At 46.1% G+C, this 24979-nt stretch overlaps 1 protein-coding gene, 1 non-coding gene and 1 pseudogene across 8 annotated transcripts in view, besides 4 other annotated features; 2 read left to right on the top strand and 1 right to left on the bottom strand.

Annotated features, from left to right (window-relative positions):
* The window catches only part of PC (pyruvate carboxylase), a 109964-nt gene that overhangs the window by 14810 nt on the left and 70175 nt on the right, over window positions 1–24979 (top strand). The window lies entirely within an intron of this gene.
* MIR3163 (microRNA 3163) lies at window positions 9068–9140 on the top strand. The gene has a single exon (NR_036121.1). It is a non-coding gene; the product is annotated as a microRNA 3163 (primary transcript).
* Window positions 18579–19230: an enhancer, noted in NCBI's record as "H3K27ac hESC enhancer chr11:66691815-66692466 (GRCh37/hg19 assembly coordinates)". NCBI's record gives its function as "activates a minimal SCP1, AML or CMV promoter by ChIP-STARR-seq in naive H9 embryonic stem cells {active_cell/tissue: H9 hESC(naive)}" and the evidence as "EXISTENCE:reporter gene assay evidence [ECO:0000049][PMID:30033119]".
* Window positions 20004–20504: an enhancer, noted in NCBI's record as "H3K4me1 hESC enhancer chr11:66690541-66691041 (GRCh37/hg19 assembly coordinates)". NCBI's record gives its function as "activates a minimal SCP1, AML or CMV promoter by ChIP-STARR-seq in primed H9 embryonic stem cells {active_cell/tissue: H9 hESC(primed)}" and the evidence as "EXISTENCE:reporter gene assay evidence [ECO:0000049][PMID:30033119]".
* Window positions 21485–22425: an enhancer, noted in NCBI's record as "H3K27ac-H3K4me1 hESC enhancer chr11:66688620-66689560 (GRCh37/hg19 assembly coordinates)". NCBI's record gives its function as "activates a minimal SCP1, AML or CMV promoter by ChIP-STARR-seq in naive H9 embryonic stem cells {active_cell/tissue: H9 hESC(naive)}" and the evidence as "EXISTENCE:reporter gene assay evidence [ECO:0000049][PMID:30033119]".
* Window positions 23526–23625: an enhancer, noted in NCBI's record as "active region_5060". NCBI's record gives its function as "activates an Ori minimal core promoter by ATAC-STARR-seq in GM12878 lymphoblastoid cells {active_cell/tissue: GM12878}" and the evidence as "EXISTENCE:reporter gene assay evidence [ECO:0000049][PMID:35858748]".
* RNU7-23P (RNA, U7 small nuclear 23 pseudogene) lies at window positions 23752–23811 on the bottom strand (annotated as a pseudogene).

The following is a 24979-nucleotide window of genomic DNA, read 5'->3' as shown; positions in this document are numbered from 1 at the left end:
CAGGGTTCCATCGTGTTAGCCAGGATGGTCTCAATCTCCTGACCTCATGATCCTCATGATCCGGGCCTCGGCCTCCCAAAGTGTTGGGATTACAGGCGTGAGCCACCGCACCCGGCCGAGAAGTTTATTTCTTAACGGTTTTGGAAGCTGAGAAGTCCAAGATCAAGGCAGCAGCAGATTCGGTATCTGGTGAGGGCTTGTTCCTCACAAATCATGCTGTCTTCAGGCTGCGTCCTCACAGGGTGGAAGGGACAAGGCAGCTCCTTTTGACCGTGACCCCTTTTTTTTTTTTCCTCCGACTCCTGGGCTCAACATCTTCCCACCTCAGCCTCCTGACTAGCTGGGATTATAGGCGCCAGCCACCATGGCCAGCTCGACCTCTTTTATTAGGATGCTAATCCTACTCATAGAACAGGACCCTCATGACAACCTCCTCAAGGCCCCACCTCTTAATACGATTGCATTGGGAGTTAGGTTGAACATGTGAATTTTGAGGGGATGTCCATATAACACATGTATTATGTACACCTGATATTAAACTTACTTTTTTTTTTTTTGAGATGGAGTTTCGCTCTCGTTGCCCAGGCTGGAGTGTGATGGCATGATCTTGGCTCACCGCAACCTCCGCCTCCCGGGTTCAAGCAATTCTCCTGCCTCAGCCTCCCGAGTAGCTGGGACTACAGACGCCCGCCACCAGACCCAGCTAATTTTGTATTTCTTTTTAGTAGAGACGGGTTTTCTCCATGTTGGTCAGGATGATCTCAAACTCCCGACTTCAGGTGATCCGCCCGCCTCGGCCTCCCAAAGTGCTGGGATTACAGGTGTGAGCCATCGCACCCAGCCGAAACTTTCTTAACCATTTTCCAGCGTACAGTTCAGTGGTATTAAGTATATTTATATTGAGCAACCATCACCACTATCTGCAGACTTTTTTTCATCTTGTAAAACTGAAGCTCTGTAACCCTTAAATCCTGACTCCTCATTCTCCACTCACCCAAGCCCCTGGCACCCACCATTCTACTTTCTGTCTCTGAATTGGACTGCTCTAGGCACCTCATATAAATGGAATCATACGGTATTTGTCTTTTTGTGACTGGCATATTTCACATAGCATAATGTCCTCAAGGTTCATCCATGTTGTAGCATGTGTCAGAATTTCTTTTTTTTTTTTTTTGAGATGGAGTCTCGCTCTGTCGCCCAGGCTGGAGTGCAGTGGTGCGATCTCGGCTCACTGCAAGCTCCACCTCCCGGGTTCACACCATTCTCCTGCCTCAGCCTCCCGAGGAGCTGGGACTACAGGCGCCTGCCACCATGCCCAGCTAATTTTTTTTGTATATTTAGTAGAGACGGGGTTTCACCGTGTTAGCCAGGATGGTCTCGATCTCCTGACTTCGTGATCCGTCCACCTCGGCCTCCCAAAGTGCTGGGATTACAGGCATGAGCCACCGCGCCCAGCATTTTTTTTTTTTTTGAGATGGAGTTTCACTCTTGTTGCCCAGGCTGGAGTGCAATGGTGCGATCTCGGCTCACTACAACCTCTGCCTCCCGAGTTCAAGCGACTCTCCTGCCTCAGCCTCCCGAGTAGTTGGGATTACAGGCATGTGCCACCACACCCGGCTAATTTTATATTTTTATTAGAGACGGGGTTTCCCCATGTTGGTCAGGCTGATCTCAAACTCCTGAGTTCAGGTGATCTGCCCGCCTCAGCCTCCCAAAGTGTTGTGATTACAGGCGTGAGCCACTGCGCCTGGCCGGAATTTCTTTTTAAGGCTGAATGATGGGGGCCAGGCATGATGGCTCACACCTGTAATCCCAGCACTTTGGGAGGCCGAGGCAGGCAGATCACGAGGTCAGGAGATCGATACCATCCTGGCTAACACGGTGAAACCCCGTCTCTACTAAAAAATACAAAAAATTAGCTGGGCATGGTGGCGGGCACCTGTAGTCTCAGCTACTCGGAAGGTTGAGGCAGCAGAATGGTGTGAACCCGGGAGGCGGAGCTTGCAGTGAGCCGAGATGGCGCCACTGCACTCCAGCCTGGGCGACAGAGCAAGACTCTGCCTCAAAAAAAAAGAAAAGGCTGAATGATATTCCGTTGTATGGATTTTACTTATCCATTCATATATCTGTGGACACTTGGCTTGGTTCCATGTTTGAGCTATTATGAATAATGCTTCCATGAATATGGGTGTACAAATATCTCTTTGAGACTTTGCTTTCAGTTCTTTTGGATATATACCTGATTGCTGGGTCAATGGCAATTCTATTTTTAATTTCTCAAGAGCCTGCTATGCTATTTTCCACATCAGCTACAGCATTTTACATTTCCATTAACAGTGCATGAGGGTTCCAGTTTTTCCACATCCTCACCAACACTTTGTTGTTTTGATAGTAGCCATCCCAATGGGTATGAGGTGATATCTCATTGTAGTTTGGATTTGCATTTCCTTAATGATTAGTGATGTTGAGCACCTTTTTTTTTTTTTTTTTTTTTTAGATGGAGTCTTGCTTGCTCTGTTGCCCAGGCTGGAGTGCAGTGGCACCATGTCAGCTCACTGCAACCTCTGCCTCCTGGGTTCAAGCTATCCTCTTGCCTCAGCCTCCCAAGTAGCTTGGATTGTAAACATGCACCACCATGCCTGGCTAATTTTTGTATTTTTAGTAGAGACGTGTTAGCCAGGCTGGTCTCGATCTCCTGACCTCAAGTGACCACCTGCCTCAGCCTCCCAAAGTACTGGGATTACAGGCGTGAGCCACTGTGCCTGGCCTTGAGCATCTTGTGATGTGCTTATTGGCCATTTGTATATCTTCTATCTTCTTTGGGGAAATGTCTGTTCAAGTCCTTTGCCTTTTTAAATTTTTATTATTTATTTATTTATTTATTTTGAGACAGGGTCTTGTTCTGTTGCCCAGGCTGGAGTACAGTGGCACAGTCTTGGCTCACTGCAGCCTCGACCTCCTGGGCTGCAGTGATCCTCCCACCTCAGCCTCCCTTGTAGCTGTATTTTTTTGTATTTTGTATTTTGTAGCTGTAGTTTTTGTATTTTTTGTGGAGACAGCGTTTCACCATGATGCCCAGGCTGGTCTTGAACTCCTGAGCTCAAGTGATCTGCCTGCTTCAGCCTCCCAAAGTGCTGGGATTACAGACATGAGCCACTGCACCTGGCAAACTCCCAAAATTCAACACACACACACAAAAAACCACCTGATTCAAAATGGGCAGAGGGGCCGGGTGTGGTCCCAACTACCAGGGAGACTGAAGTGGGAGGATCACTTGAGCATGAGAAGTCGAGGCTGCAGTGAGTCGAGATTGTACGACTGCATTCCAGCCTGGACAACAGAGTGAGACCCTGTCTCAAAAAAAAAAAAAAAAAGTTTTGGGAACTTTCTATGTATTCTCGATATTAATCCCTTATCAGATACATGATTTGTAAATATTTTCTTCCATACTGTGGATTGCCTTTTTACCCCATGATAATGTCTTTTGATGCACAAAATTTTTACATTTTCTTGAAGTCCAACTTGTCTATCTTTGCTTTTTGTTGCCTGTGCCTGCCTTTGGTGTTGTATCCAAGAAATCATTGTTAAATCTAATATAAAGCTTTTCCCCTATGTTTTTTCCAAGAGTTTTGTCATTTTAGGTCTTATGTTTAGGTCATGGATATGGTGTCAGGTAAGGGTCCAATTTCATTCTTTCTCATGTGTCTCTGCAGGAGTTGTTTTTTTTTTGTTTTTTCTTGTTTTTGGTTTTTTTTTTTTTTTTTTTTTTGAGACGGAGTTTTGCTCTTGTTGCCCAGGCTGGAGTGCAATGGCACGATCTCGGCTTGCTGCAACCTCTGCCTCCCGGGTTCAAGTGATTCTCCTGCCTCAGCCTTCCGAGTAGCTGGGATTACAGGCATGCGCCACCACACCTGGCTAATTTTGTATTTTTAGTAGAGACGGGGTTTCTCCGTATTGGTCAGGCTGGTCTCAAACTCCTGACCTCAGGTGATCCACCCGCCTTGGCCTCCCAAAGTATTAGGATTACAGGCGTGAACCACTGTGTCCAGCCTCTGCAGGAGTTTTAAGTACAGTCTGTCCTCACCTGTGGCTGTGTTCCCCTTTAAGGTGGTAAAGGAGCACTGTGAGATACAGTATTTCATAGCACAGTTGTTTCTTGCTATCCCCTGGGGACTGGTTCCAAGACCCCCCTATGGATGCCAGAATCCTCCAAGATGCTCAAGTGCTTGATAGAAAATGGCATAGTATTTGCATATAACCTATGCATATCATCTTGTGTACTTTAAATCATCTCTGGATAACTTAAAATACCCAATCCAATGTAAATGCCATGTAAATAGTTCTTATACTGTATTGTTTTTATTTGTATTATTTTTTATTGTTGTATTGTCATTTTTTATTTTGCTTTTTCGAATATTTTTGATCCCCAGTTGGTTGAATGAGTGGATGTGGAACCCACAGATACAGAGGGCTGACCATATAGTAAACGAAGGCAGTGATGTCACTGAGTGACGACTCTGCTCTCAAAGAGGAGGGAAAATGTGCTTCACCATAGGGCCAGTATTAAATGACTGGGGGGTGCAGAGAAGATGAAACCTAAAATGTCAAGTCATTTAACACAGCAATTCCAGTTCTAGAAATGTAACCTGTGGTATCATGGGACAGGCGTGCAAACATATGAGGTGATAGCAGAAAATGGGAAATCACCAAAACGTACATCAGAAAATGATTGCTACATATGAAGTCTGTTCTGTGTCATATGATGTAGCCTTTAAAAATAGCTCATGTATCCTAATCAAGCTGTCACTCTAAATTTATTACCATAGGACGAGAGCTATGATGCCTTTACACAAAAAATATATATTATAAAACAGAATGTATAATATCTCATTTTTTGTTATTTTGGAATGCTATACCAACAATTTGTTCAGGTTGCTGGAGTTACAAAATTATGTGTTTAAAAAATTTTCTATATAGTATTTTTTTCTTTATAGGATGTTTTAATTTTAAGTTATCAATTTAAAAAATCTAATTAGAGAAGGGTGCAATTCATAACACTACTTGGGGCTTACGGTCGAGTACTAGGTACTTAAATATCAGAGTTTGACTCTTTTACCCCTCTTTTCCAAAAAATTGTTTTGGGGGATGAAAACCTCTTTCTAAATGCCATATGAGATATAGATTGCTGGGGAGTGGTGGAGTGAGGACTTCATAAATGCTGTTCCTCCATTTAAAGGAATGAGAAAACTGGCAAAAATGATTAAAACCAACTTTTTCAGAACTCGAGAAATTAACCAAAGGCTTGCAACAATCTAAGACACATTTATTCAGGAAAAATCGCAGAAAAAAGTTATTCTTGTTTTCAACAAAAAGTTATGAGGCATGCAAAGAAACAAGAAAGTATGGTTCATACACAGGAAAGACACAGTCTTTTCCAGCCTAGATGTTGGACTTCATAGACAATGATGTTAAATCAACTATTTTAAATTTGTCTAAAGAACTTAAGGAAAATGTGAGAAGAGTGTCTCACCAAATAGAGGGAGGCCAAGGCAGGTGGATCACGAGGTCGAGAGATCGAGACCATCCTGGCTAACACAGTGAAACCCCGTCTCTACTAAAAATACAAAAAATTAGCTGAGTGTGGTGGCACGCACCTGTAGTCCCAGCTACTCAGGAGGCTGAGGCAGGAGAATCGCTTGAACCTGGGAGGTGGAGATTGCAGTGAGCTGAGATGGCATCACTGTACTCCAGCCTAGGCAACAGAGCAAGACTCAGTCTCAAAAAAAAAAAAAACAAAAAAAACCCAGAAATTCTGGAGTTGAACTGTGTAGTTACTGACATGAAAAATTCACTAGAGGCTGAACAGCAGATTTGAGCAGGCAGAAAAAAATCAGCAAGCTTGAAGATGGTACCTTGAGATTTTTCAGGCTAATGAAAAAAGAATGAAGGAAAATTAACAGCCTCAGAGACCCATGGTGCACCGTCACACAAATCAACATATGCATCATGAGAGTCCCAGAAGGAGAGGAGAGAAAGGGTCAGAAAGAATGGCCACAAGCTGATGAAAAACAGTAACCTACCCACTCAGGAAGCTCAGTGAACTCCAATGAGGATGAATATCAGAGATCCACACCTAGATATTTCATAATCAAAGTGTCAAATGACAAAGAATCTTGAAAGCAGCAAGAGATGAGCAACTTATCTTGTTCAAAGGATCTTTGATCAGATTAACAGCTCATTTCTCCTCAGAAATCATGGGAGCCAGGAGATAGTGGGATGAACACTGTTGAAGGCAAAACCTTCAACTGTAATTATTGGACTTTTGAGTCTTAGATGGTCCTGACCTCTTTGTCTTCAGGGACAGTTTTTCAATTTAATCCCTAATAACAATTAGTCAAGCTTCCTTGACCTGTAGGAAGGCCTGTCTTTAGGCCGGGCACAGTGGCTTACACCTGTAATCCCAGCACTTTGGGAGGCCCAGACGGGTGGATCATTTGAGGTCAGAAGTTCGAGACCAGCCTGACCAACATGGCGAAACCCCCATCTCTACCAAAAATACAAAAATTAGCCAGGCGTGGTGGTGCATACCTGTAGTCCCAGCTACTTAGGGGGCTGAGGCACGAGAATCGTTGCTTGAACTTGGGAGGCGGAGGTTGCAGTGAGCCAAGATCGCGCCACTGCATTCCAGCCTGGGAGCCTGGGTGACAGAGCAAGACTCCATCTTAAAAAAAAAAGAAGACCTATCTTTTATAGAGTTCCCTTCCCCAAGTTTTTCTACAAATACCCAGGGATGCTTATGTGTTCCACCAAGTTTGGAACATAGTTAGGGAGTGAAAAACATAGGTTAAATGAATGTCATCTGTCTGGCTTGGTTATTTCCTTGGCCAGCTGTTCTCTTCTGTATGTTGCCTAGTTCTCCCTGCCTCAGGGCTGTTGCTTCACCCTTCATACCATATTGCCTTAAATACACAAACGACCTGTCAGGCATTTCACAACATTTTACTGAATGCTTGGAGATAGCAGAATGGAATTACAATACAGAAAAAGATGTTTTGCTCACAAAGGGGAATTTACCCTTTACCTCAAGAAAAATAGAGCAATTGCCAATAACAATATTGGTGGCCTCTCCCCTGCCCATTAACCATCAAGACGTCAGCAAATACTGGGGTCTAATCTCAACTAGTGTTACTCCAGGACACCATATGGAGCTGACTGCTGATGTTCTGTTCTTGATAATATCCCTTATGTGTGTGTAGCACTTTATAGTTTTTTTATTTCATTTTTTTCTTTTTTTCTCTCCCCCCCCACCTTTTTTTTGTGTGTGTGTGTGACAGGGTCTTGCTCTGTCACGAGGCTGGAGTACAGTGGCACCATCCAAGCTCACTGTAGCCTCCACCTCCTGGGCTCAAGCAATGCTCCCACCTCAGCCTCCCAAGTAGCTGAGACTACAGGCATGTGCCACCACACCCAGCTGATTTTTTTTTTTTTTTTTTTTGAGACAGGGTCTCACTCTGTCACTCATGCTGGAGTGCAGTGGTGCAATCACAGCTCACTGCAGCCTCAACTTCCAAGGCTCAAATGATCCTCCCACCTGAGCCTCCTGAGTAGCTGGGACTACAGGCATGTGCCACCATGCCTGGCTAGTTTTTGTATTTTTTGTAAAGACTGTGTTGCCCAGGCTGGTCTCAAACTTCTGAGCTCAAGCGATCCTCCTGCCTCGGCCTCCTGAAGTGCTGGGATTACAGGCATGAGCTACAGCACTTGGCTAGTTTTATTTTATCAACCAGTTTTCCCTGGAACTGGTTATGGTTGTGGTTTTGCTGCTTATGGATGACAGACCCGAGGTTCAGAGAGGTTCAGTGTCTCTCTCAGCTTCACTAGGAAGAGTTATAGCCAAGCTCTGACAGCAGCAAACCAGATTCTGGCCTGAGGTTCTCAGAATATGCTGCCGTTCCACAGGATGTTGCAATATGGTGTGGCAGGGTGTTACAGTGCACAGGGCTGAAAAGACCAACCTGAGACCCTCCCCTTTCCTTCTGAAGTTATCACTTCATGGACGTTTGCAGCTTTTATCATAAGAGCCATTTGTTGTCGCATGGCTTGTGGCCAACTGGGAGTCTACCTCCATCTAAGGCAGGGCTCTTCTCCCTGCCATGTTGCCCAAGGCTGTTTCAGTAAGACTGTAAGGTTTTCTTCAGCCCTCCTGGCTTTTGACTGCCCCATTCCAACTGGTTGCAAAATAGCTATTTGTGTTTTTGCTGACCTGAGCCATCTTTCTGTCCATTTATACTTCTGATATTCTTACGTGGCAATCAGTATCTAGCAGAATGAATGCCCCATTTTCTAATCCTGCGTTTTCTCAGTTGACTGAGTGGCTTAAGGAGGACAAGTTATTACTGGGCAGTACTCCAAGAAATGGTTCTTTCCTTCAGCATTTACTGTGCATCTGTGCTATGCACAGCTCCTTACTGGATGCTGTGAGGCCACAGGAGGATCTGACAAGGTGGCCTTGCCCTGAGTTGTTTATCCGTGGTTGGGAGAGAGGGAATGCACGTGCTGGACAAAATACATGCTTGCATAGTGACTGGCTAGCGTGGAAGAGTAGTAATGACCTCATTGATCCTGCTTCTGTGCCAGGTGAGATGCTAAATGCATAAACATACACAGGGGGCTGGGCGCGGTTGTTCACACCTGTAATCCCAGCACTTTGGGAGGCCGAGGCGGGTGGATCACCTGAGGTCAAGAGTTCGAGACCAGCCTGACCAACATGGTGAAACCTCATCTCTACTAAAATACAAAAAATTAGCTGGGTGTGGTGGGAGGCTGAGGTAGGAAAATCACTTGAACCCAGGAGGTAGAGGTTGCAGTGAGCCAAGATCGTGCCATTGCACCCCAGCCTGGGCAACAGAGTGAGACTGTATCTCAAAAACAAAAACAAAACACACATAGGGAATTACCGGGGAGTGGCATAGCAGAGTTGAGAGCATGGACCCTGGAGTCAGGCGGACAGGATGGAGTTCAGGCTTAGCCCTGATCAGCAAGTTCCTTAGCTTCTTCAAGCCTTGGTTTCCTCATCTATAAAATGAGGGCAGTAAGACCTTCCTTCCTTGTCTTACTACCCCCATTTTATAGATGAGGAAACCAACCAGTGGGGGCTGTTGGGTAGAGATCAAATGCAATAACTTTTGTACAAATGAAATAACACACGTTCATTCTGTACAAATGAAATAACACATAAACAAATGAAATCACACAGTCATGTGCCTGACACTTGGACACACCGTAATGGTGGCTCTGTTAATGGGACCAGTGATGAACAGTTAGAAGTGAACCCCTTGAGGGTAGAATATGTGAATCCGAGGCCCTGCAAGATGAGGGGACTCTCTCAGGTGGGTGGAGGAGCTGGTCCTCGCATGTGTGATATTTGAGTTCGTAGGAGGCGGGTGCCCCCGGACAGTGGCAATGGGAGTGAGGCCAGGTGATGAGACAGAGGGTGATGCCCCAGCCTCGCTGGCGTGGAGGAAGGCAGTGGGAAGCCGGCAAGGGTGGAGGTTGTGCCTGCATTGATCACTGTGGAATCCTCAGGGCCTAGCACTTGGGAAGCAATGTTGGAGTGTGCTGGTGGGGCGTAGTGAGCATTAGGGCTGGAAGTTCATTCTGTGAACCCCAGCTGCGTGTTGGGATTTGAGACAATAAGAAGCCCCTGAGATGCTTGAGCCAGGACTACCCAGAGGTGAATGGGATTTTTGGAAAACCTCTGGGCGGAGTGGGTGGCTGCCTGGGAATGGGGAGAGGCAGAGGTTGGGTGGGGACTAGCTCAGCAGGGAATGTAACTCAGACATTCCGGAATGATGCAAGTGGAGGTTAGGGAAGTGGTTGCAATGGGAAGGAGGTGGCAAATATAAAGTGTCACAGAAGAAAAGTTGTCATGGGGCCAAGTGGAGGGAGGGATTGGAGAGCTCTAAATTGCAGCTCAATCTTCATCTTGAAATGCAGGATGGAAAAAGCCACCCCATTTATTTAGCTAAAGGGAGCTGACTCCAAGACCTGAGGTCGGGGAAAAGTGGAGAGACAAATAGAAAAGAAATAGGGAATTGGGACAGGGCACCATCTTTCGGGATGGTGGGCTTTTAAGCCCAACTCAGCATTTCCTGAGAAAATTGAGATAGCTTGAGACCAGAGCAATAAGCGTTGAGACTTACCCGGAGAAAATGTTACCCAGAGAGGAGAAAGGGCTGGTAGGGCCTGAAGATTCTTGAGCTGATTTTCCCCAGTTCTTGCCTCTTAGTGCCTCCCATTTCTCCTCATCTGACGGTTTCTGGGTGAGACAGTTGCATCTCATCTGTGGTAGGCTGCCTACTGCTTGGTGAGCCTGGGCTGAAGGGCTGAGGCCTCTGGAAGAGCTGTCAGGAGAGAGACACCTTCAGGGTACTTGGAGCTTTCGCCTTGCTTCCAGGGCGGGATAGGTGGAAGCTGAAACTGCCTCCTAGCAAACAGATTTACACTGATCAAAACAAAGTATTTGTAGGTGTTAGAGTTAAGAGGTTGAGGTTTTCCGTTGGATTTTTTAGGTGCATGGTGGAAGAGGTATTTTAGACGAAGGATTCTCCTAGCAGACACAAAATATGAATTAAGAACACTTGTTTCTGTTTTTCTCCCAACTACTTCTTGATATTCATAGTTCCTGGTGCTGGGACTTTGGAATGGGTTTTGGTGTGCAGAAAAGACAGGGCATTTGCTGCCAACAGGGGACATAATTGAGACTAAATTCACAAGATAAGGGATGGTATGATTTACCTTCCAAGAAAAGATCTGTGTCTGGTCCTGTATCTGGCTTCTTTCTTTATTGCTTTTGCAGTTCTGAATCAGTTTTCTTTCCCCGATGGCTAGCTTCTCCAGCTGGAGAGAACACACAGTTTAAAGAGGCTTTCCCCCCAGGGCCAGATTAAGGATACTTCTGGGCTAAAGGGCAAATGCAGCCATTCCTAGCAGATTTATGGCCCCGAAAGGACATTTCGGCCACTGCATCTGCGAGATTTTTGTCCCACATCAGCTAGCCCAGCAGCGTAAGCCCAAGGGTTTAGTCATTGACAGAGTCCAACCAAGGGGTCTCTGTGGAACCCTGGGCTTGAATGGGCTGGAGTTCTACCCTCCCATTGAAATCATTTGAGATGGTAGAGTGCCTTCCATGCTGAAAACAGGTCTCATGTAACAGTTACTGATGGGGCCAAGGAAGCCCAGGTATGACCTAGGTAACTCCTCAGAGATGCTACTGTTGAACCTAATAGTCTTCTAGCAGGTTACCAAGCGGTAATCCAAAGAGTTAGTGTTTAACTTAAAAAAAAAGGTATTCAGTTTAGCTATGTAATACTTGCACCTTGTACAAACATTGAAATGTATGAGTCTCCTTTTTCCTCTCTCCCCAGTAACCCAGTCCCCTCCCAGGAGGCCACTTCCGGTTAAATTATCTTGTCTGTCCTCTTGGAGGTGGTCTGCCCTTTGAAATAGAAACATATTTCCTTTTTTCTTTTTCTTTTTCTTTTTTTTTTTTTTTTGAGACAGAGTCTCGCTCTGTCGCCCAGGCTGGAGTGCAGTGGCGTGATCTTGTCTCACTGCAAGCTCCGCCTCCCGGGTTCACGCCATTCTCCTGCCTCAGCCTCCTGAGTAGCTGGGACTACAGGCAACTGCCACTATGCCCGGCTAATGTTTTTTGTATTTTTAGTAGAGATGGGGTTTCACCGTGTTAGCCAGGATGGTCTCTATCTCCTGATCTTGTGATCCACCTGCCTTGGCCTCCCAAAGTGCTGGGATTACAGGCGTGAGCCACTGCGCCCGGCTACAGAAACATATATCTATTGTTTGTTTCTCCTGTGCCCTTTCTGCTCCATGCCCTTTTCATTTATCAGTGTATCTTGGAAATCGTCCGATGTCAGCACAAATAAAAAGTCTGCAGTACTCTGTGTGCCATTGCATGTTTTTTTTTCTTCATTTTGCCATTTGTTTATTGCAAAATCCCACACTTAACAGAAGACATGTTTAAAACATATGAGTATGTTAAAACAAAATAGTAAAATGAACATCTATGTTCCCATCCCTAGGTTAAGGTTAGGACCATATAAGCCCCCTATGTTCCCTCCCCGGTTGAAGTCCCTTCCCTCAGCTATTCCTTTTTTTTTTTTTTTTTTTTTTCTTGAGATGGAATCTTGCCACTCTGCTGTCCAGGGTGGAGTGCAGTGGTGCCATCTCGGCCCACTGCAACCCCTGCCTCCTGGGTTCAAGTGATTCTCCTGCCTCAGCCTCCTGAGTAGCTGGGACTACAGGTGTGTGCCACCATGCCCGGCTAATTTTTGTATTTTTAGTAGAGACGAAGTTTCACCATGTTGGCCAGGCTGGTCTTGAACCCCTGACCTCAGGTGATCCGCCCACCTCAGCCTCCCAAAGTGCTGGGATGACAGATGTAAGCCACCACACCTGGCACCCCAGCTATTCTGAATTTTGTGATATTTATTCTCTTGTTCTTGTTAGTTTTCCCACCGATAGCCAACCTCTGAATAACTTATTGTTGAATTTTGCCTGGTTTTGAACACCTGGACATGGAATCCTACAGTAGATTTCTGTGACTTGCTCAGCATTACATTTGTGATTCGTCCATGTGGATGCACATGGCTCTGTTCATGTTCACTGCCGTAGAGCTTTCCATTGAATGAATATCCACAGTGTGTTGATCCTTTCTGTTGCCCTGTTGCCAAGAAGGCCTTGGTCTGCCTTTTGTTTTTTTTCCTCTCTCAGGAATAACCCTGCTGGGAACTTTTTTTTTTTTTTTTTTTTTTTTAAGACAGAGTCTTGCTCTGTCGCCCAGGCTGAAGTGCAGTGGTGTGATCTTGGCTCACTACAACCTCTGACTCCCGAGTTCAAATGATTCTCCTGTCTCAACCTCCCAAGTAGCTGGGATTACAGGGGTGTGCCACCATGCCCAACCAATTTTTGTATCTTTAATAGAGACAGGGTTTCGCCATGTTGGCCAGGCTGGTCTTGAACTCCTGAACTCAGGTGATCCGCCTGCCTCAGGCTCCCAAAGTGCTGGGATTACAGGCATGAGCCACCACGTCCAGCAGGAACATTCTTACATATGGCTCCTGGAACACATGAGCAAGAATTTCTGTGGGGTATAAACTAGGAGTGGAGTTGCTGGCATGTCTAACTCTTCTAGGTTATCCGAAACCAAAGATTTGAGGTTTTGAAAACTAATTTGCCCTTCTCCTGCCATCAGTAGGAGCACTGAGTATTTTCTGATCGCCCAGGTAGTACAACTTTGGACTGCAAGTCTGTGTGAGGGCTGTTTTGTGATTGCAGCTTCTTGGGGGGAGTTTTTTGTTTTTCTACCTGCTTTTGTTTTTCTACCTGCCAAGGATTTAGACAGTTGATTTTTCTTGCAGGTAGCTCTTGGGGACAGGGAAGGGTACATCAAGTTTCTTGGTGGTTCACTGTTACGTTAAGGGAGTATCCTTTGGAAGTCCCAACTTCACTGGGGGTAAGATCTCTTTAGATTTCCCACCGTGGCTGGGCTCTGGGCCGTGCTTCTGTGACCTTTTGAGGCTTTGAAAACTGAAGCTCAGGTTTGCCTAGTTCTGCAAATGCCATCTAGATAAAAGCTTCAGTGTTAACTTACCTCCCTGTTTCTCCTCCTTAGGGTTTTAGCCTGAATGTTCCTTATTTTCTTGCCAGCTTGCCTATGCTTTTAAGACAAAATTTAATCTGGCCAGGCGTGGTGGCTCATGCCTGTATTCCTAACACTTTGGGAGGACAAGGTGGAAAGATCACTTGAGCCCAGGAGTTTGAAACCAGCCTGGGCAACATAGTGAGACCTCCATCTCTGTTTCAAAAAAATATGTAAAAAATAAAAAGAAGGCCAGGCACCGTGGCTCACACCTGTAATCCCAGCACTTTGGGAGGCCGAGGTGGGTGGGTCACTTGAGTTCAGGAGTTCGAGACCACCCTGGTCAACATGGTGAAACCTTGTCTCTACTAAAAATACAAAAATTAGCCGGGCATGGTGGCATACACCTGTGGTCCCAGCTACTTGGGAGGCTGAGGCAAGAGAATTGCTTGAACCTGGGAGAGAGAAGTTGCAGTGAGCTGAGATTGGGCCACTGCACTCCAGCCTGGGGGACAGAGCGAGACTCTGTCTCAAAAAAACAAAACAAAAATAAAGTAGCACTTTCAAGATGAGCCTTTGCATCCCTAGGGTTATGGCTTCCATTCTCAGGGGTTGCTGGATTTCACATTTGAGAAGTAAGGCTGCCAGCACCACAGCGATGAGACAGAAGTGGTTTCGGCCACTCCCCCAGAATTTTAGTACTATGCCTGGGCCTGGAAATCTGACTCATATTTCAAACTCACATGACACTGATTTGTCCCAGAAGGCTACTTTATGGATTTATAATGGGAGATAGAATCTCTGGGGTCAGCCTCTTCTGGTTTAAAGATCCTTGGTTGACCTGTCGGTACTAGGTAAGTCTTAGATGGTGGCTAAGTCCATTCTAGCATTCAATAAATAGTACAGATAGGGTTGCTTACAGAGCAGGAATCATACACAGGCCCTTTTAAAAAATGGTATGACCCTATTTTAGACCCTGACCCTCCTTGTCCCTGGTTGCAGATTCCCACTTTCATGTAGTGTTTCTTTCCCAAATATTTTGCTATTTTAGCCTTTTGATTTCTGAAATTGCCCATAATAAGTAATGCTCATGGCCAGGCACGGTGGCTCATGCTTGTAATCCCAGCACTTTGGGAGTCGGAGGTAGGTGGATCACTTGAGGTTGGGAGTTCAAGACCAGCCTGACCAACATGGAGAAACCCCGTCTATACTAAAAATACAAAATTAGCCAGGCAAGGTTACACATGCTTGTAATCCCAGCAACTCAGGAGGCTGAGACCAGAGAATCGCTTGAACCTGGGAGGCGGAGGTTGCAGTGAGCTGAGATCGCTCCATTGCACTTTAGCCTGGGCAACAAGAGCGAGACTCTGTCTCAAAAATAATAATAATAATAATAATTAATGCTCACATTATTTTTTTTTTTGCACTACTAGGTAGACTGAACACCCCATGGTCATTCTGCTGCTGCCAAGTTCATCTTGGTAGGTGCTAATTTCAGGCTGGCCTGATTCTTGTTTTTTTTTTTTTTTTTGAGATGGAGTCTCACTCTGTCGCCCAGGCTGGAGTGCAGTGGCACAATCTCAGCTCACTGCGATCCTGCCTCCTGGGCTCAAGCAATTCTTCTGCCTCAGCCTCCCAGGTAGCTGGGACTACAGGTGTCCACCACCGCGCCTGGCTAATTTTTTTGTATTTTTAGGAGAGATGGGGTTTCACCGTGTTAGCCAGGATGGTCTCGATCTCCTGACCTTGTGATCCGCCCGCCTTAGGCTCCCAAAGTGCTGGATTACAGGTGTGAGACACCATACCCGGCCTGCCACAGGTGGGCTTCTGAAGGTGGTAGACCCTGGAGCCAAGCAGTGGCACAACATAGGCATCTGAAATCCACACGTCCCTTTGTGGCTTCATGTCTGTGGCCGAAACCAACAAGCAGATGTATAGTGTTATGTTTGCTTGTATTGTTCATCTTAGAACTTAGTTCCCTCTCTGTCTCTTCATGTAAATTTCTCCTTTACATTATTTTCTTCTTTCTCTTAGTCCCAATTCGACAAACCTTTCTTGTTTCCCATGATCTAGTCTCCAGGCTTCCTTACTACCCTCTCCCCTTGAGTAGGCTTGACACCATCCAGCCCTTTCTAGTGGGGAAAGCAGAACCCAAAGTTGGCATCCCAGATTCTATCTTTTTTTTTTTTTTTTGAGACGGACTTTCGCTCTTGTTGCCCAGGCTGGAGTGCCGTGGCACGATCTCAGCTCACTGCAACCACTGCCTCCCGGGTTCAAGCGATTCTCCTACCTCAGCCTCCCTAGTAGCTGAGACTACAGGCACCTGCCACCAGGCCCAGCTAATTTTTTGTATTTTTAGTAGAGATGGGGTTTCACTGTGTTGGCCAGGCTGGTCTTGAACTCCTGACCTCAGGCAATCCACCCACCTCAGCCTCCCAAAGTGCTGGGATTACAGGCATGAGCCACTGCGCCCAGCTTGCCTGGCTGATTTTTAACAGTGACTTTTAAATTTCTACTGCCATCCAGCGCATTCCTGGGCTGCTGTGTGTGTTTCCTATCAGAGAATGAAAACCAGAGGAGTACGGGAGTACACTGGTGTGGCTGGGAGTCGAGCTCTAGAGTCATACTGCTGAGTTCAAGTCCTTGACTAATTAAAGCATGACTAGGGGAGGCCAGCCTGGATAGTTAAAAATTACATATTTAAAATGTAATATATGTGTGAGCGTTCACAGCAGCGTTATTCAAATACAAAAAAAAATTAGCTGGGCATGATGGTGCATGCCTGTAATCCCAGCTACTCAGGAGACTGAGGGTGGGAGAATCGCTTGAACCTGCGAGGCAGAGGTTGCAGTGAGCCGAGATCATGCCATTGCACTCCAGCCTGGGCGACGAGAGCAAAACTCCGTCTCAAAACACAAAAAAAGAGCCAAAAGGTGGAAACAACCCAGATGTTCATCAACCAATGAATGGCTAAACAAAATGTGGCCTACCCATCCAGTGGAATGTTGTTCAGCCATAAAAAGGAGTGAAGTTCTGACACATGCTACGACATGGATGAACCATGAAAACATTGTGCTAAGCAAAAGAAGCCAGACACAAAAGGTCACATACTATATGACATTTCTAGGAAATATCCAGAATAGGCCATAGAGATGGAAAGCAGATTACTGGTTGCCAGGGGCTGGGGGTGGGTGGGAATGGGGAATGACAGCTAGTGGTACCAGGTTTCTTTTTGGAGTGATGAAAAGGTTCTGGAATTGGATAGTTGGTTACCAACATTATAAATATGCTAAAAACCACTGAACTGTATAGTACTGGTAACCAGAATATGTGCATCATTAGGCCTATATATTAAACAATTCTAGTTGGTCATGTCCCTAGACCCCGGTTGTGTTGACTTGCCATGATTTGTTTAACTGTTTGCCTACTGTTGAATACTTGGCTTATTTCCAGGATTTTGTGATCATTGATAATGGTAAGCCTTACTTTCAAAGTCTGATAAGCTTTTTAAAAAATTCTGCTTCCTATGTGATGCCAAGCACTTAAGAAGTACTCTATAAATATTTATTGAATTATCTTTGCTTGCTATTCCTGTTTCATTAGTGTAGATAATTACTTTCTGTTCCAGATTATTTCAAAAGAAAATATTCCTTAAACTGTTAGCCTTTCAGTAAGAGCTGTACATTTTATATTTGTAAGTGGTATATTTCAGATAGAAATAGTTTGCTTGCCTTTTCTGATCACAAGGGTAATATCTGCTAATTATAAGAGATTCAGATAATGGCCTTGCCTGGACAGTGGCCTTTATCACAGTCCTCCAAGCAATTCCACATCTGCAAAGAAACATGCTTCTTATCTTTTTGCCATATCATTTCATTATCTTCTCTGCATCTTGAGTTTGACTCATTTTCTTCTAAAAAACTTCTTAGATACCTTCTGCTAGACAGTAGCCTACGATGTATGATGCCATTGCCTTCTTTTTTTTTTTTTTTTAACTCCCCTCCCTGTTGCGGGAAGTCAGGAACCCTGAACGGAGGGACCCGCTGAAGCCATGGCAGAAGAACATAAATTGTGAAGATTTCATGGACATTTATTAGTTCCCCAAATTAATACTTTTATTTCTTATGTCTATCTTTACTGCAATCTCTGAACATAAATTGTGAAGATTTCAGGGACACTTATCACTTCCCCAATCAATACCCTTGTGATTTCCTATGCCTGCCTTTAATCTTTCAATCTTATCATCTTTGTAAGCTGAGGAGGATGTATGTCGCCTCAGGACCCTGTGATGATTGTGTTAACTGCACAAATTGTTTGTAGAGCATGTGTGTTTGAACAATATGAAATCTGGGCACCTTGAAAAAAGAACAGGATAACAGCGATGTTCAGGGAACAAGAGAGAGAACCTTAAGCTCTGACTGCCGGTGAGCTGGGCGGAGCAGAGCCATATTTCTCTTCTTTCAAAAGCAAATGGGAGAAATATTGCTGAATTCTTTTTCTCAGCAAGGAACATCCCTGAGAAAGAGATGCGTCCCTGAGGGTAGGCCTCTGAAATGGCCGCTTCGGGGGCAGCCGTCTTTTATGGTCTAAGCCGTAGGGATGAAATAAGCCCCAGTCTCCCGTAGAGCTCCCAGGCTTATTAGGACGAGGAAATTCCCGCCTAATAAATTTTGATCAGACCAGTTGTCTGCTCTCAAACCATGTCTCCTGATAAGATGTTATCAATGACAATGCGTGCCCGAAACTTCATTAGCAATTTTAATTTCACCCCGGTCCTGTGGTCCTGTGATCTCGCCCTGCCTCCATTTGCCTTGTGATATTCTATTACCTTGTGAAGCACATGATCTCTGTGACCCACACCCTATTAGTACACTCCCTCCCTTTTTGAAAATCACTAATAAAAACTTGCTGGTTTTATGGCTGGGGGGCATCACGGAACCTGCCAACATGTGATGTCTCCCCTGGACACCCAGCTTTAAAATTTCTCTCTTTTGTACTCTGTCCCTTTATTTCTCAGACTGGCTGACACTTAGGGAAAATAGAAAAGAACCTACCTGACTATCAGGGGCTGTTTCCCCCGATACCTCCCCTCCTTCATTGTCCTTTTGTCCAAAGATCATGTCTGTCTTGTTTGCAAATAAGAAGGAATAATAGGCTAGGCTCAGTGGCTCACAAGGCCTGTAATCCTATCACTTTGGAAGGCTAAGATGGGTGGATTGCTTGAGCTGAGGAGTTCAAGACCAGCCTGGGCAACATGGTGAAACCCTGACACATGCTAATTTTTTGTATCTATAAGAAATTAGCCAGGCATTGTGGTGCGCACCTGTAGTCTCAGCTACTCAGGAGGCTGAGGTGGGAAGATCACTTGAACCTGGGAAGCAGAGATTATAGTGAGCTGAGATGGTGCCAAAAGAAGGAAGAATAGTGTGCCATTTGTTTTGCTAAGTCAGCATCCTTAATTTCTAACTTTTTTCCTTTCTTTCTTTCTTTTTTTTTAATTGAGGTGTGCACTGTCATGCCTAGCTAATTTTTTTTTTTTTTTTTTTTGGTAGAGATGGGGTCTTGCTATGTTACCCAGGCTGATCTTGATCTCCTGGCCTCAAGCAATCCTGCTATCTTAGCCTCACAAAGCATTGGGATTACAGGTGTGAGCCACCATGCCTGGCTCAACTTTTCCTTTCTTTTCTTTCTTTCTTTCTTTTTTTTTTTTTTTCTGAGATAGAGTCTTGCTCTGTCGCCCAGGCTAGAGTACAGTGGCGCAATCTCAGCTCACTGCAGCCTCTGCCTCCTGGGTTCAAGCGATTCTTGTGTCTCAGCCTCCCAAGTAGCTGGGATTACAGGTGTGTGCCACCACACCTGGCTAATTTTTGTATTTTAGTAGAGACATGGTTTTGCCATGTTGGCCAGGCTTGTCTTGAACTCTTGGCCTCATGTGATCCACTGGCCCTAGCCTCCCAAAGTGCTGGTATTATAGGTGTGAGCCACTTTTCTTGGCCACTTTTTTTCTTTTTCTCTTTTTTTTTTTTTTTTTTGCCTTGAGGTCTTGTGACATTCTGAAGCTATGTGCTTTTCTGTGACCTTTTAAACCCTTTGTATTGGCCGGGCATGGTGGCTCACATCTGTAATCCTAGCACTTTGGGAGGCCAAGGTGGGCAGATCACTTGAGGCCAGGAGTTTGAGACCAGCCTGGCCAATGTGGTGAAACCCCATCTCTACTAAAAATACAAAAATTAGTTGAGTGTGGTGGTGCACCTGCACATGTGTAATCCCAGCTACTTGGGTGACTGAAGCGGGAGAATCACTTGCATCTGGGAGGCGGAGGTTGCAGTGAGCCGAGATCGCGCCACTACTACGCTCCAGCCTGGGCGACGGAGCAAAACTCTGTCTCAAAAACAAAAACAACAAAAACAAACCCAAATCCTATGTATTCCATAGCTGTCTTGTAAGGAAGGAATGAACCGATGGGTCTCTTTTCTCTTTCCCTGTGTCATGTGGTGGAGCTGTGCCTAGCACGACTTCTTTTTTTTTTTTTTTTTGAGACGGAGTCTCGCTCTATCTCCCAGGCTAGACTCTGTCTCCCAGGCTAGAGTGCAGTGGCGCAATCTTGGCTCACTGCAACCTCCGCCTCCCAGGTTCAAGCGATTCTCCTGCCTCAGCCTCCCTAGTAGCTGGGACTACAGTTGCATGCCACCCCGCCCAGCTAATTTTTTGTATTTTTAGTAGAGACAGGGTTTCATCGTGTTAGGATGGTCTCGATCTCCTGACCTCGTGATCCACCCGCCTCAGCCTCCCAAAGTGCTGGGATTACAGGCGTGAGCCACCGCGCCCGGTGCCTAGCCCGACTTCTTGCCCCACATTATTGTGTGTTCGCCTTTCCCTGCTGCGCCATCATTGCTCAGCACGCCTCAAGATGGGATGTGGCAGCAATGGTGGGCCATTCTGTCCTTATGAAGCTAGTGTTATTGACTATGCCTTGCTTTTTTTCTTCAGAGTCATTTTTCTAGGAACAAGGACAATCTCATACCTTTGCCTCCCTGTCTGAGACCCCTGTTTTAGCTAACAGCAAGCTTGGACAAGATGGTTTATCAGAGTCAGGGTTAAAGCCTAAGAAGTGAAGTGAAACTAATGAGCCATCTCAGTGATGCAGAAGCCTCATCTTCTCCAGCTGTCTGTGGCTCTGGGCTTCCTTGTGTTGCTGTGTTGCTGGCAGCCATGTGGGGATCTGGGCCAGAGACAGAAATGAAAGAGTGGAGGAAGACCAGGTACTTATCCCTGATGCACCTCTGGAAGTGCTGGAGTTGTGGATGCACCTCTGGAAGTGCTAGCTAGGCTCATTGCTTTTTTTTTTTTTTTTTTTTTTTTTAAGACAAAGTCTTGCTCTTTCGATCTCGGCTCACTACAAGCAACCTCCACCTTCTGGGTTCAAGCGATTCTCCTGCTTCAGCCTTCCAAGTAGCTGGGATTACAGGCGCGCACCACCACGCCCAGCTAATTTTGTATTTTTAGTAGAGATGGGGTTTCACCATGTTGGCCAAGCTGGTCCCGAACTGCTGACCTCAAGTGATTCGCCCGCCCCAGCCTCCCAAAGTGTTGGGATTACAGGTCTCAGCCACTGTGCCCGGTCTAGGCTCATTGCTTTTTCCAGCCAATGCTGATGACTGAAAGACTGTTTTAATCTTAGAATGGTGCAGTTATTTATTGAGTGAAAGTTCAACTGTCTGTAGCTGTCTCCTCATCTTTCTTGTCGTTATTCTGTTTAGATTTCCAGCCCCACACTCTCCTCTCTGACTTAAGACTCTCTGAAACCCCTTTACTTCGTCAGTAAATCTATTCTGGGATTGTAGGTGCTGGTTGGGCTTTATGGGGACAAAGGGACCCCTACCCTCATTCACAAGCACAGGGGAATTGTCATGAGGAAGATGGGGTGAGGGAGAGAACTCCTTGCGAGTGATGTCACAGTGGGCAGCTTTCTCTTTGTAGATCCTTGACAGTCAGATCTCAGGGACAGTTCCAAAGTGTGGGGAAAACGAGATTAGAACTCTTGGGTGGTTTTGGATCTGCTGTTTGGTTTTTCCTCATCTAGAACTAAATTTATATAAAAGAATACAACAGTAGAATAATCATGGCAACTAAGTTTGTTCTGCTGTCCTGGGGCCTCTTCATGTATTATCTCTACTTACTGCAACAGCTCTGGAGGTAAAAGGCGTTACCTTGAAGAAACTGAGGCTCCAAGGGGTGAACTGCTTGTCCAGGGCCATCCAGCTCGGGAGTGGCAGAGCTCAGATCTAGGCTCCTGTCTCCCACCCCACCGCCCATGCCCCTGCCTTCCCCTGCACCAGAACAAAGCCACCACCCCCAGAGGGCCGTGTGTTTGTGCTTTTATTTCCCTGAATGGCTCCAGGTTTTTGCTTTGTCATTTCTGTGCTTGTGTCCTTTGCAGAGTCTTTGGCTTCCTTTTATTTTTCCTACCCCAGTAGCATCTGACGCAATGCCTGGGGTCTGGGAGGAAGCAGGGTTCTTTGCTTAGACATCTTGGTTTTCATCTGTTTTACAAAATTATCCTTGGCCTCTGTTCTCTTTTTCCTTTTATTTCCTCCCTGAAATACTGGTTCTTTAAGGCTATCGGGAAAAGAAAGATAATCCTACCCAAGAGTTTGAAGAAATGTAAAGGAGAAGTGTTTTTAGCAAGCAGCTGGGTTTTTAGCGGGGTCGTTTCCACGCTCCGTGTTGCCCTAGTGAAAGTGGTTTGTCTTCCTCACGACTCCAAGGGAACTGGCACATAAATGGATGCAGTCAGGTGGCCGTTGAGCCAAGGGCCAAGTAAGGCATTTCGTCCTCAGCCACGTTGCCCTTGCCTCATGCCTGTATTTCTGTTCTTTTTTTTTTTTTTTGAGACGGAGTCTCGCTCCGCCACCCAGCCTGGAGATCTCGGCTCACTGCAACCTCTGCCTCCTGGGTTTAAGCAATTCTCCTGTCTCAGCCTCCTGAGTGGCTGGGACTACAGGCACCTACCACCATGCCTGGCTAATTTTTGTATTTTTAATAGAGACGGGGTTTCACCTTGTTGGTCAGTCTGGTCTCAAACCTCAGGTGATCCACCTGCCTCGGCCTCCCAAAGTGTTGGGATTACAGGCGTGAGCCACCACGCCCAGCCTCATGCCTGTATTTCCATGTCCTGAACATGTTACATTTGCATCCAGGCCCAGCTCTGTTCCCTGAGGAGGTTGGAGTTCTGATACCCCACAGAAGGAAGGAGTCAAGGCGGGGAGGCTGCTTGGAGGAGGGTGCGGCGAAGACAAAGAAATGGCTCTACGATTCTTGGGATTGCTGGGAAGCTGTTGCTTATAGGGTTGGCTCTCTGTCCTCTCTGATGCTCCAAACAGGTCCCCAGGGGACAGGCCTTCCCGGGGCTGCCACTTTCTCCAGTGTTAGGTCCATATCCATTTTCCTGTCCCCCTCCGCTTGTCCCAGCTTTATCATCCGAGATATGGGGCTTCTTTCCAAAGGTGAATTTAAGTTTCAGGTTTTCCTAACAGTTTCAGCTGTTAGGCAGGGGCTTGTGGCAGGAAAAAGAAGACAGAAATTTCTGTTGCCCATAGGAGGGTGACGGGGTGCTGGGTAAATACCAGTTACAGGGAAGTTCCCTCCAATGAGTAGCCTGGCACCTTTCTGCAGGGTGTCTTCTGAGCCAGCTGGATTCATCGTGTTGGCCTGTGAAGTCTGAGAACACCATCTCTCTCGTCTTTCCCCTCCTCCCCTCCTCTGTGCCACAGCAAGAGGCGTGGTATACTCTGGGTCCTCCCTCATCACTTACACAGCCTTCTCTCTGTGTTTGATTACCAGAATGAGCCAGCCTTGTTCTGAGTCCGTTCATTCATTTATTCATTCAACAACCGTTTTGTGCTAGGCACCATGGTAACCTACATTTCAAGGCTGTAACTGCTATTATCAAGCCATTTGCAGAAGTTTGGGTCACTGATGTGCCTTTGACCTGATGCCCATTTTCTAAACCCAGGCATTCCTCTTGAGTGATACAGCATCTCTGTACCTCTTCTCCAGGACTTATGGCTTAGGTTTTTGTTTTTATTTTTAATGGGGCTTTCTGGCAAAGACCTGAAAGCCTGCTAGACAAATTCTAAAAGTGCTGTAACACTAACGCCTAGGTTTCAGTTCTGACTTCATGCAAAGAGGATGCCTGAACCAAGCTCCTCACTACCAGGCCTCATTCTTTTCTCAGTGACTTAGATCCCTCTCCCCAACCTTGGTATCTGTTTGCTGTTCCTAGCACAGATCCTCAGCACTGGTGTATTCACTGCCTCTGGCTGGAGCCCATTTGACTGTTGTCACTACCTCGTCCCCCTGCCCTTCCTCGCCAGCCAATGACTTCTCATCTCTTCCCAGCTTGTCAAGCTCCTGGAGATCTCAGAGTCACAGGCCCCACCCAGGGCTCTGCAAAAATATTCTTTAAGGGTGTGGGCGAAGGGATAATTGTTTTATTTTTGAGACAGAGTCTCACTCTGTTGCCCAGGCTGGAGTACGGTGGCTCAATCTTGGCTCATGGCAACTTCTGCCTCCCAGGTTCAAGTGATTCTCATGCCTCAGCCTCCCGAGTAGCTGGGATTACAGGCATGTGCCACCACGCCTGGCTAATTTTTGTATTTTTAGTAGAGACAGGGTTTCATCCTGTTGGCCAGGCTGGTCTGGAACTCCTGGCCTCAAGTGATGCACCTCCCTTGGCCTCCCGAAGTGCCGGGATTACAAGCCTGAGCCACCGCACCTGGCTTGAAGAGAGAATTTGAAAATAGAAAGTTTTTTCCATTCATTTCACCTTTTGAGGCTAACCTAGACAGCTTGAGGTAATCCACCTGGGCCCACAGTCCCAGGATTATGTGAGTCTTCAGGGACTCTCCAGAAACCCTCTTGTTGATATGGGTGCTGGAAACTTGACGGGGCTTGGTTTAGTTCCTCTCTGAGCTGCCCTATTAGAGGAACTTCTGGATAGATGAAATCTTCCAGGGAGAAGTTCTGAATGTTCTGAATGTTGCTGCTCCCTCCTCCTGGGCCTTCTTCACTGGGCTGGGGCTCTGCTTTGAGGCCAGAGTGGGAAGACTATTTGGAGGTCACACGTGTTTGGCGTGGCTTAGGGGGTGAGGAAGCCTTTTATTTATTCTTCTGCCTCTTATCTCCCTACTTATCTCTATACCCACACCCCTAAAAAGAGAATGGCAGAAGTAGATTTTGTTGGGCTGGGCATGGTGGCTCACGTCTGTAATCCCAGCACTTTGGGAGGCTGAGGTGGGCGGATTACTTGAGCTCAGGAGT

Source organism: Homo sapiens, chromosome 11 (assembly GCF_000001405.40).
Source record: "Homo sapiens chromosome 11, GRCh38.p14 Primary Assembly".
NCBI classification, from domain to species: Eukaryota; Metazoa; Chordata; class Mammalia; order Primates; family Hominidae; genus Homo; species Homo sapiens.
This window is presented reverse-complemented; position numbering and strand designations above follow the sequence as displayed.